Below are 12,438 nucleotides of genomic sequence, written 5' to 3' on the forward strand. Positions count from 1 at the left end.
CCATGGCCTTATTGTCTCAAGGAGTAAATCAGTTTTGAATTTAACTTAGCAATTTACCTCATCATTTCTTTCCCCCAAAACTATAAGTCCTTCAAATCTTTTCGAACCAGCTCTTCATTCTGCTCCTCCCTCACTGATTAGTTAAATAAAACTTTGACCCATAATCACTATCTGTTTGTGTGGGAATTTTATGATTAAAAAGAATTGGTAATTGTAACTTTACATCATCCTACAATCAAGGACGGCCTGCTCTTGTGGGGGCCCTGGCCTTCTGTTGGTCAGGAACAATGTAAAAGTTCTTATTTAGAGCACAATGAGGCAAATGAAAAGGGAACAGACAGTGACCAACTGTTACTTAAATCTAACCTGTAAAAGAAAGATTCTTTTTTTCCCCAAGCCAAACTGTATCTAGCTTTATTAAAGATACTTTCCAGAAACAATCATGGTATTTCAGGCAGGACATGGGCAGTCATTCACAGTATAAAACATTTCAAATTCCCTACTTCAATGGACTACCAAAAATCAGAAAGCCACTGTAAAACCCAATGAAGACTTCATCTGATGCTCTGAACAGGGAAAGTTTAGAGTGAAGGTTGACATTTCTCATTTAGCATGTTGTTTTAACAACCTTTCATGAGTTGACCCTGACTTTCAGGAAGTGAAATGAAAATGGCAGAATTTATCTGATGATCCACAATCTAGAAACAGAACCGCTGCTCTTTTGAGGGGCACCATCTCAGTGGCATCACAGGCAAGTCCAGATTGCCTGACACACTGGTAACCAATTATTTGGGTTCAGGTCCCAACAGGTGTCTGGGTTTGAGTGAGTTAAGTCTATGATGAAAGGTGGAAAGGGAGAAGAGGACATAAAAACAATTTGTTTTTCCATACCAAGGCTTTTGTGCCAAGGTGGCCATGTGTGTCAAAGTCAGGGAATCTCTCCTCTTGGGAACCAATAGGAAGTCTCTCAAACCTAGAAGGGAAATGTGTTTTCCCCACATCAATCCAGCTTCATAGACATTCTATTAGTGACCTATGCCCCTTTCCCCCCAAACAACAATGAAGTGCTCTGCGTGCTAACAGCATAGCTTAAAAAAAGTAAAACAAAATTATGAATTTTTATAAAACTCGATAAAAAATAGTATTTCAAACTCTTCAGTCACCAGAAGTACAGTTATCAAAAATGCAGACACTTCACGTGGCATCTCCAGGACCTTCAGCTTTCTGTGCCTGGTCTGTTTTGTCATCTCCATTTTCTGCAGGGTTATTCCCCTCCCTGCCAGCATTAGCATTTACCCTTTTCCCTATGGGTACCTTCACTCACTTTTTTGCAGGGGCCTCTTTAGGCTTAGACTCTGGCTTTGGAGAAGCAGGTTTAGCAGACAACCTCTTGGATCTTTTCTGTGGTTTGTCCTTCATGTTGGATTTATCTCCTTTAGCATCCCCTTCAGCCTTTCTCTTGGGGATGGTGGTGATAGTGGCGGGACATAGGCTCTGGGGGAGGGATGCAGTGGTGCACGGGCTTTGGCCACTCTGGGGAGTCGTTCTTGTCTCTTTACTTCCAGATTCTTTTTTTTATTTTTTTATTTTTTTTATCTTATAAGTAATTCCTTTGCTCTCCTCTGGCTCTCATGTATCCTCATTATTAAATAGTTATGCCATCTAGTCCAGATTCCATTTCAGAAACCTTTCAGCATTTTTACCATTCGAAGATTTGCAGTTTAATCTTTTTATTAGTTTTCTAGAGTGACTGTACCAAAGTACCACACTAGGTGGCTAAAGCAATAGAAATGGAATGTCTCACATTTCTGGAGTCCAGAAGACCATCAAAGTATTGTCAGTGTTGGTTCCTTCTGAGAGTGGTGGGGGAGAATCTGCTCAGAGACCTTTCTCCTAGCTTCTGGGGCTTTACTGCCAATCTTTGGCATTCACTGGTTTGTGGAAGCATCACCCCAATCTCTGCCTTCATCTTCACATGGTGTTCTCCCTGAGCATCTTCATGTTTCTGTGTTCAAATTTCCTTGCTATAAGGACACTTGTCACATTGGATTAGGGGCCCACACCACTCCAGCTTGATTTCATGTTAACTAAGTACATCTACAATGACCCTATTTTCAAATAAGGTCACATTCTGAGGTGCTAAGGATTAGGACTTCACCATATGAATTGAGGTATGGGGAGACATAATTCAACCCATAACAGTCTTAAATTAAGAGGTGTAATTTCTGTCCATTTGTGTATTTTCCCAGAGAAATTTCTTAAAGTCCAAATAAAAAACTTAATTGGTCCAATAATGATGATTCAGAGGAGCTATTGTTATCTGAGCTTCTATAAAAATTAGCGTGCTTTGGGCTGCAAGTACCAAAAGTGTGACTCAATGCCAGCCATATGAATGAACCATCTTGGGTGCCCAGCCCTGTTGAGTCTTTAGACTTGATTCTCAACTCATATCTCAATGCAACCACATGAGAGATCCCATGAGTGAACTGCCCAGCTAAACCTTCTCTCAATTTCTCACTTACAAAATTGTGAGCAGAATAAAATGGTTGTTTTAAGCCAGTATGTTTTGGGTAGCTGGTTGTGCAGGAATAGTAACTTAATGGGAAGAAATATCCAAAGTAAATAAATAACTCCTATGAAAGAATTAAAAAAGAGAAGCACCCCAGTTGAGAATTGAGACAAAAATAGGAATTTCAATCAAGAGGAATAAAAAATGCCCCCCCAACCAAGGTATTAAATCTAATTCATAATCATAGAAATTCTACATAAAAGCATAATAACAATTGACATTCCTCAGGATTAACAACATTTAAGTCACACAATATGAAATGTTAGTGATGATATGGAGCTTGATGGAAACATAAATTTGTACAGCAACCCAGAAGACAATTTGGCAATGTCTCTGAATACTAAAGATAGTCTTTGATTCAGCAATGCCATGGCTAGGTACATAACTTAGAGGAACTCTCCAAGAATATTTAAAGCAGCATTGTTTCTGATAGTAAAAATGGGAAACAACTTAAATATCTGTCAATGGGAAAATTGATAAATTTTGGTACACACACACACACAATGGAATACTATACAGAAGTGAAAATTGAGGAATAAAATTTGCTTATATCAAAATGGTGATTCTCACAAACAATAATTAGTTAATACAGTGATGACTATGAATAGTATGATATCATTTCTGCCAAGTGTAAAAGAGACAAAGACAATTTTTTAGGGATATAGTCATTTGCAGAAAAAGCACGAAGAAATGCACATGGAGGACAAGAGTGGGAGACAACAGGGAAGGAATCTGCAGGCGCTTACCCTCACTGGCAGTGTTTTATGTCTTCATCCAGTTACTACATTCAGGAGTACTGGATGTACTTTTTAAGTACGTTTTGTATGTTAAATATTGCAGAATGTATTTTATAAAGTATTTAATTACCAGAAACTCTTTAAAAAATTCCCAGGCCTGTTTCAGACTCAGCAGATCAGATTGCAGAGGTGGGGCCCATGAATCTGCCCCTTTTGTGACCCCGATAGTCACTACTGGTCTAAGCCAGGGCAAGGCCACCCCGGTGGAGGTTGCTTCCTTCATGCTGTATTATGTTTTTCACTTTACAAGTAATAATGTTTATCCATCAGTTCCCCAACTTTGGTGCTGCTGTGTTATCTACCATGCAAGGAGATGGGGAAGCAAAAGTAATTAAGACATTTCCACTGGTTTCAAGGGCAAAGGTTAACTCCAATATAAAGGAGTTCTAAAACTTTTCAAATTGGACATATTCACATCTATTGTCTTGATACCAGTGTTTCCAAATCCTTTTTTCCCAATGCCCAGAACATCCACAGATCACTGCGTCTGTCTGGGAACTTCACAGGCTTCTTTCCGGAGACATTCCAGACACGCCCCTCTGCCTTGGCATGAATACTTGGCATCTCCCCTTGACATCTCAAGCTTTGTCATTTACTCACTGTGTGACCTTGGGCCAGTAGTGTCCCTTCTCTGAACCTCTGTTTCCACCCCTGCAAGTTGGGCAGATGAAGGTTCAGTTTGAAGCTGGTTGAGCCCTTGGAGTGACAAAGCAAGGGACTGTGAATGGACAAAAATGAGAGAAATAAATTCTAATAGGCATGAAGCAACCAGGGGAGAAATAGTCCCAATTCTACCCAAAGACTGATGGGCACTAATTTAGAATCCAGTCTCAATTCTACCTTCAATACGGTGTGTGACCTTGAAAATGTCTCTTAATCTCTCTGAGCCTCATGAGTCAAATCAGGATAATGTTAATACCTGCTTCAGAGTTCTGGTGAGGAGCAAATGAAATAACTCCTGTAAAGATGTTTCAGGAATTCTGTCTGACCAGGAAAAAGCCCTTGGGGCCATTTCTTCTTGGTCCCTGACAAGTGCCAGGCTGACGAGCAGAACTCAGGGTGGGGCAGGAAGTCAGTGGACAGTTTTGTGCCCCACTCACTGCAAGGTGGCCTCCCAGACTTGGCTGGATGGGTGAACCTGGCCTGAAAATCAACCACAAGCCCCTTTTCGTTGTGTTTGGAGAGGAGCTGAAGCTGTGTGAATAGGAGTTGAGCATGCGGCTGGCAGAGCAGGCAGGACCCACAGAACACCTGGGCCCACTGCCTGAGGGACAGTCACTCCCTTCTTCATTTGGCTGCTGCCCTGGGATCAAACGGATACAATAGAACCCACGGCGCACGGCTGCCAAGGAAGGGCAGGCCCAAGGGATTGGGCTCCAAGTCCTGGAAGTGGTTTCCCAAGTCACTAGATTTGCAGCGCACAAAACCGGAAAGGTCCCGGTAAACCTGTCCACTGGCACCTGGGCAGCGAAGCGCTTTGGCCGGAGGGCCTCAGGTCCCAGCAGCGGGATGGACAGCGGGGAGATGGCTGACCCTCCTTGGGGTGGTGTGCGTGACCTGCATGAGTGCCTGGGGCATCTCCTGCACGGAATGGCACCCGCACCAGGTGCCCCTGGCCTCGCCAGCCAGAGGACCAGTCCTGGACGGGGAGGGGGAGGACAAGAGCAGGTGAACAGGCCCCAGAACCCGGCTCCCTGACCCTGGCCATAATGCAGAGCTGCCTGGCGCACCTCAGACCACTCCCTGGCCCTCTGGTGGGCACGCCGGGGTGCAGACCCCTCGCCCCGCTGGCACCTCCGTGGCACGTGCGGGAGGGGCAGGAGCCGGGACCAGGAACCGCTGTGGTGAGAGCCAAAGGCACGGGGACTGGCCGCCACAGACCTTTGGCCACCGCAGTGGGGATGGGGGTGGGCGGGCGCTTGTGTGCCCGGGGGCCCGGGGGCCCCCGTGGCGGGGGGGCTAGGGGAGAGGAGCAGGTGACGTCACCCGGGGACCTGGGGCCCCCAGGGGCGGCGGCGAGAGCCCGACCTCGTGACCCGTCCGCGCCAATGGCCCTGCGGTCTCCCGGACGACGCGGAGGGGTCCGCGCTGCACCGCCGCCGCGCCCCCGCCCCGTGTCCGCACTGCAGAGAGCCGCGGCGAGCAGGCGCCGGCGCACTGGCCCACGTGCTGCGCGAGCGAGGGAGAGCCACAGTCTGAGCGAACGTCCGCGCTGGGAGCCAGGGGTGCCCGACCCCCGTCCGCCGCCGCCGCCGCCGCCGCGCATAGCCCCCGGAGAGCCCTCTGGGGACCCCGACCAGAAGGGACCTTGCCCTGGGAGAAGGTAACAGACCCACCTGGGGAGGGAGACGCTGGGCCCCGGGAGACTCCGCCGCCCCTCGCCTGTCCGCCCTATCAGAACTGAAGCAGCCTGCAGGGCAGGGGTCCAGGGTCCTGGGGCAGCGCGGGGAGGGGGCTGAGGCCCGCAGAGACCCCACGGGGGGTGGGGGTGGGGGGCTGGGCAGGGGCGGGGCCTGGCTGCAGAGGCGCCGCCCGGGGAGGAGGGCGGCTGGGGGTGGGGGTGGGGGTGGGCGTGGATGTGGGCGTGCGGAGAGGTGGGCATTAACCTCGCTCTCGCCCTGCTCGCATTCACAGGCTGTGGAGACCTGGGCCTTCTGCGATCACCCTAGGAGTTGATCCAGATATGTGCCTCACGCCCTGATCACTCCCCCCAAATTAGTATCCGCAGAGATTCGAGGACATGCCGTTGACCTTGTTACAGGACTGGTGTCGGGGGGAACACCTGAACACCCGGAGGTGCATGCTCATCCTGGGGATCCCCGAGGACTGTGGCGAGGATGAGTTTGAGGAGACACTCCAGGAGGCTTGCAGGCACCTGGGCAGATACAGGGTGATTGGCAGGATGTTTAGGAGGGAGGAGAACGCCCAGGCGATTCTACTGGAGCTGGCACAAGATATCGACTATGCTTTGCTCCCAAGGGAAATACCAGGAAAGGGGGGGCCCTGGGAAGTGATTGTAAAACCCCGTAACTCAGATGGGGAATTTCTCAACAGACTGAACCGCTTCTTAGAGGAGGAGAGGCGGACCGTGTCAGATATGAACCGAGTCCTCGGGTCGGACACCAATTGTTCGGCTCCAAGAGTGACTATATCACCAGAGTTCTGGACCTGGGCCCAGACTCTGGGGGCAGCAGTGCAGCCTCTGCTAGAACAAATGTTGTACCGAGAACTAAGAGTGTTTTCTGGGAACACCATATCCATCCCAGGTGCACTGGCCTTTGATGCCTGGCTTGAGCACACCACTGAGATGCTACAGATGTGGCAGGTGCCCGAGGGGGAAAAGAGGCGGAGGCTGATGGAATGCTTACGGGGCCCTGCTCTCCAGGTGGTCAGTGGGCTCCGGGCCAGCAATGCTTCCATAACTGTGGAGGAGTGCCTGGCTGCCTTGCAGCAGGTGTTCGGACCTGTGGAGAGCCATAAAATTGCCCAGGTGAAGTTGTGTAAAGCCTATCAGGAGGCAGGAGAGAAAGTATCTAGCTTTGTGTTACGTTTGGAACCCCTGCTCCAAAGAGCTGTAGAAAACAATGTGGTATCACGTAGAAACGTGAATCAGACTCGCCTGAAACGAGTCTTAAGTGGGGCCACCCTTCCTGACAAACTCCGAGATAAGCTTAAGCTGATGAAACAGCGAAGGAAGCCTCCTGGTTTCCTGGCCCTGGTGAAGCTCCTGCGTGAGGAGGAGGAATGGGAGGCCACTTTAGGTCCAGATAGGGAGAGTCTGGAGGGGCTGGAAGTAGCCCCAAGGCCACCTGCCAGGATCACTGGGGTTGGGGCAGTACCTCTCCCTGCCTCTGGCAACAGTTTTGATGCGAGGCCTTCCCAGGGCTACCGGCGCCGGAGGGGCAGAGGCCAACACCGAAGGGGTGGTGTGGCAAGGGCTGGCTCTCGAGGCTCAAGAAAACGGAAACGCCACACATTCTGCTATAGCTGTGGGGAAGACGGCCACATCAGGGTACAGTGCATCAACCCCTCCAACCTGCTCTTGGTAAAGCAGAAGAAACAGGCTGCAGTTGAGTCGGGAAACGGGAACTGGGCTTGGGACAAGAGCCATCCCAAGTCCAAGGCCAAGTAGGCTCGGGAGAACAGGGCAACATTTCCTACCACAGGCCAAGGAGACAAAAGAGATATTGGAAGGAGGGGAAAGAGAAGCCCAGACAAACAGCAGATGAGTTGAGTGGGGCAGAGGGACAGGGCAGCCAGACCAAGGCCAAGCCTTCTCACCCTTGGCCAGCTGGAAGGGACTTCAGCAACCAAGACCACCTGGCAACAGGCTCAGTGGGGGTCAGGTCCAGGTCCCCGAAGAGGTGCTGGAGAGGAAAGCAGGGAGCCACTGCATCCAGCACATGGGGTGCCTGGGCCTCAGATGGGGACCCCAAAGAAGCAGAAGCTGAAGAAGGTACGGCTGGGGGTTCTGTCCTGCTCATCCAACCACCCCTAAATACCCACCCTGTGGACTTTGAGCTGAACATGCCCACTGGCCCCCAGGCCACATGGGACCTGGAGGAGCCTACCTGGGGCCTGCCCCTGCCAGCAGGTGCCAGGGCTGGTGAGGAAGAGCTGGGGGGCAGAGGTAAAGCCCTGCAGGGGAGGCCACAGGGTCCATCCCGTCTTCAGGATCATCTACACTGCACTAGGGGAGCCCCAGGAAGGCAGCACCCTGGAGGCCCTGTGCCAGTGAGGACAGGAGACCCTAAGGCCCCGGGAGCCCAGTGCCAGCCAGAGGTTGTGCAGGCAAGGAGACCAAAGATTGATGAGAAGACCCCCAGCAGGGGTACTGGGTACCCGGCAGGCCAGTGCCCTCACAGTTGACTTGGACCAGGGTGGCTGTGAAGGGAAGTCTTTGTTGCAAAGGAGGAGGAAAAGGGAGGACTTGGTAGGGTTTTGTTTCTTCTGCTTGTTTCTGTACAGGGCCACCAGACTCCTGGAGAGATCAAGCAAGGAGAACCTGGGGCTGCCATGGCCAAAGCAACTCAACAGATGCCAATGCCAATTCCAAGGCCAGCCACAACCCTGCCACCTTGGGGAATCCAGCCTGGAGGCATCCCCTAAGCAGCCAGCCATGGCCTGGGTGGAGGCACCTGAAGACGTCTGTCCCAAACTCCCCCAGCCCTGAGCTGGGAGATGACAGGGGGAAAGAGGCCCTCTCAAGGGTGCCAGATGCCTGGGTCTCCCAAGAGGGGTCCCCCAACTCACTGTTCCCGGGACAGGCTGCCCCCTGTTCCAGGAAGCTCATCCTCACCTGTGTAGGCCCCTGTAGTGACCCACGCGTCCAGCAGACGCCCACCCACCGCTAGCCGTTGTTCCTGTGCAAAGTAGTGTGCTATGCACCCACCCAGGTGGCCGCCTCTGGGCCCAAGGCACATGCTGTGAGCTTCCTGTGAGCCCAGGCTCTGCTCACTGCTGTCCCGCGTCATGAGCACCACCTCTGCTTTCCCTGTGTAGATCTAGGCCAGTGGCTGCTTGTTCTTGTGGAGCTGTGTGTGTTCTTCTCTGAGCAGCTCCTCCCCGGAGTCCCCCAGCACAGTCCCAGGAGATGACAGGAAGGAAGCACCAGGGCAAGGCGGACGCTCACCCTGTGACCACGATGGTGACCGTGACTGTGGGAGGAAGAACTGGACCCAGGACGGAGCGGGGCTGCCCTGCCTGAGGCTCCCGAGGAGCTTTGTGCTTTGGTGTTCCACCCCTGTTGTTACTCATGACTCAGTTTCCTTAACCTGGTAGGGTGTTCCCTGCTGTGTTTTCCAGTGTCCTGTGACTGTCCTGTGCGGGCCATAGGGCAGGGCCCTGCCCCAGCAGATGGGCTTGGGAGGGGACTCCCTAAAGCCAGTGGACACTGCCAGAGTCTACCTTCCTGGCAAGAGGCAGACCCCGGGGCCCTCAGGAAGGAGGGAGTTGGCAGCGGGGGCTGCAGCAGGAGTAGGAGCAGATGAGGCGTCTTGCCAGGAACCTCAGGAGGAGGGGGCCCGGGACCTGTGTGGGACCTGTGTCCTGTGGTGGCCGTTTGCAGTTTCTCTCTGTGTTGTGATTCCCTTCTCTTCAACGTTTTCAGTACGTGTTTCTCTTCAATAAACTTCATTCAGTGTTCCAGCCGGCCTCGCCTCTGCTGTGGGAAACTGGGGATGAGGTTGGCTGGGCATGGGGTTGGGGTGGAGTGAGGGCCACAGTGGCTTTGTTAACACTGGTGTATACTTGGGGCTCGGTCTGCAAGGCATTCTAGAATGCCCTATCTGCGCATGTTGGTCATGAGCTAGGGTTCACGGCCCACGGACCCAGGCAAAGAAACCCAGCTGAGCAGGCTGGATAGTCCCAGTAGACAGGACACTGGTAGGCCCAGGCAGTGGCTGGTTGGGTCCTCAGGGCACTGGTTGAGCTTCTCAGAAATGAATAACATATTTAAGGAAGGGTGAGGGACAGCAGGCTGGACCAGTGGCCCCAGGATCCCTTGTATCACTATTGGGCTTCCACACCTGGAGCATCAAAACCAGGCCCATCTCTGTGAGTGTGTGTGAGATGGTGAATATGTGTGAGTATGCGTACTAGTGATTGTGTGAGAGTGAGTGTAGGAGAGTTTGTGTGTGTCATGTGTCAGCGAATGTGTGAATATGTGAGTGTGTGAGATGGTGTGTGAATATGTTAATGTGTGTTTGTATTTGAGTGTGAGTATGCATCAGTTTTTGTGTGTGAGTGAATGTGTGTTAGTGGTCAAATGTATGTTTATGTGTTTAATGTATATGTGTGTTAGTAAAAGTATGTGAATATGTGAGAGTGAGACGGTGTGTGAATGTGTGTATGACAGTGAATGTGTGGGTGACTTTGTGTTGTTGAGTGTGCACATGAGTGAATGTGTGTTTCAGAGTGTGTTTATGAGTTTGTGTGTGCATATGCGTGAATGTGTGGAATGGGTGAGTGTGTGAGTATGTGTGTTAGTGTGTATGAGACAGTTTATGAGAGGGTGTGTGAATTTTCGTGTGAGTGCAAATGTTGGGTGATTGATTTTTTTTTTATTTCTTTAAGGGATCAAGAGGGTTGGAAAGAAGGCAGAGAGAGGTAGAAGTTTCTTTGCCACCAAACAGCAGTGAGACTTTTGTTGCCTCTAGGCTGATGGCCCTAGAGCTGGGCCTACTAGCTAATCATCCATTTCTGACCCCTGGCACATTCCTATTTTTAAGGTTCACATGGCTTCTTGGCCTTTTGGCTACGATCAAGTGCAGTATCTATTTTAAGGTCCCTAATCTAAAAATAGATATGTGTTACAGTTATTGTGTGATTAAAGCTGATAGAAACATCCTCGTATGAATCTCTGTGGACTTTTGTTTTCCTTTCTCCCGAGTAAATACCTAGGAATGGAATGGCTGGGCCACAGGGTAGTGGTATATTTAACTTTATAAGAAACTTCACACAGATTTCCAAAGCTATTGTGACAATTTATACTCTAATGAGCAGTGCTCGTTTCTTAGGGTACTCCAAAAAATCTTGTATTGCCAGCTTTAAACTTTTAACCATTCTGTTGGGTGACTCACTGTGGTATCTCACTGAGGCATTAGTTTGCATTTCTGTGATGACTAATAATATCGAGCACTTTTTCATGTGCTTATTAGCTATCTGTCTTCCTTAGCGAAGTGCCTGTTCAAGTCCCTTGCCTAGTTTTTACCTGGCTTTTTAAATTTTTTATTAGAGTTGTGCAAGTTGTTAAAATACTCTGGATACAAGTACTTTGATATGTGTGCTGGGAACACTTTTTACCAGTTGTGTCTTTCTTATGCATATTCTTAATGGTGTCTGTTCATAAGCTGATGGGTTTAATTATAATGAAGTCCATTGCATCATTTGTTTCTTTTTACAATGACCACTGCCTGGGTCTTGCCTAAGATATCTTTCATTGGCCCACATTTGCAAACATATTGATCTATGTTTTCTTCTAGAACCTCTGTAGTTGTAGCTTTTGCATTTAGGTCTTAGAATATACCTATATTGGCTGGGTGCAGTGGCTCACACCTGTAATCCCAGCACTTTGGAAGGCCAAGGTGGGAGGATTGCCTGAACCCAGGAGTTTGAGACCAGCCTTAGCCTCAAAAAACAAACAAACAAACAACCCCAAAAGTTAGCTGGGTGTGGTGGTGCATGCCTATTATCCCAGCTACTTGGGAGGCTGAGGTGGGAGGATCTCTTGAGCCCAGGAGATTGAGCCTGTGCTCTAGCCTGGGCGACAGAGCCAGCTCCTGTCTCAAAAAAAAAAAGTACCTAAATTAGTTTTTGGTGTGGGGTCAAGATGCATTTGAAAAGACTTTCCTTTCGACATTGATTTTATTTAGAGTGTTGGTCAAAAACTGTTTGACTTTGTACCTGTGGGTCTATCACAGGGCTCCTCTCTTCTACATGTTTCACTTCTAAAGCTTCCATTTGATTCTCCATTATCGGTGTTGTTTTTCTGTTGAGATCCTTCCTTAATCATTTCTTCATCATTTTCATGTTTCTCTTTCAATTCTGGAACAACACATTTACTTCTAATAACTGTCTTTAAGTTCTCATCTGCTAATCCCATCGTCCTTGCCATTTCTGGGCCTATTGAAACATTTTCTCCTTGGTGTGGGTCACGTTTTTCTCCTTCCCATGTCTAGAAGTTTTTGTGTAAAATCTGGATATTTTAGGTTAGGATGTAAAATATCTTGGTCTTGTTGTTTCCATTAATTCTGTGTTGAGTTGTTCCAGCAGGCAGTTTGTTTACTTACAGAGCAGCATAAGCCTTTGAAGCCTTGTTTTTAAACTTTGTTAATGTGGGTTTTCATTCTACCTTAGACTTGCTCCCGAGGTGTGGCATTTCTAGGCTCTGTACTGAATGCCCAGCTATTTCAATGTGGTCTCTCCACTGTGGCTGGTGGGAAATTGAACATCTCTGAACACTGTGTGAGCTTTGACAATTGTCCAGCTCACAGCTTTGGAGGTGTTCTGTGCTCAACCTTGTGGTGTCTCTATCTGAGCAGAACTTAGTATGCAGCCAAAGACTCAGTGGGA

The 12,438-nt window shown here is 49.5% G+C and overlaps 1 protein-coding gene and 1 pseudogene across 3 annotated transcripts; one reads left to right on the plus strand and one right to left on the minus strand.

Annotated features, from left to right (window-relative positions):
• Positions 393 to 1,556, minus strand: HMGN2P48 (high mobility group nucleosomal binding domain 2 pseudogene 48; annotated as a pseudogene).
• Positions 5,521 to 9,513, plus strand: PNMA3 (PNMA family member 3). Of its 3 annotated transcripts, none has more exons than XR_938508.4 (3): positions 5,521 to 5,689; positions 6,001 to 7,822; positions 8,335 to 9,513. XR_938508.4 is itself a non-coding variant. In NM_001282535.2 (3 exons), exons 2-3 carry the CDS (start codon positions 6,107 to 6,109, stop codon positions 7,593 to 7,595), a joined length of 1,368 nt encoding a protein of 455 aa, NP_001269464.1. In that variant the 5' UTR covers positions 5,521 to 5,689; positions 6,001 to 6,106; the 3' UTR covers positions 7,596 to 9,513. The 3 variants fall into 3 exon arrangements, 2 of the variants coding, with proteins under 2 accessions (NP_001269464.1, NP_037496.4); NM_001282535.2 differs by having other exon boundaries at positions 6,001 to 7,411; positions 7,533 to 9,513; NM_013364.6 differs by having other exon boundaries at positions 6,001 to 9,513.

The sequence above is a fragment of the Homo sapiens genome, chromosome X, assembly GCF_000001405.40.
Source record: "Homo sapiens chromosome X, GRCh38.p14 Primary Assembly".
Lineage (NCBI taxonomy): Eukaryota > Metazoa > Chordata > Mammalia > Primates > Hominidae > Homo > Homo sapiens.

Coding starts and splice junctions, on each gene's coding strand:
- PNMA3 (NM_013364.6), top strand. CDS start 6,107: ATGCCGTTGACCTTGTTACAGGACTGGTGTCGGGGGGAACACCTGAAC.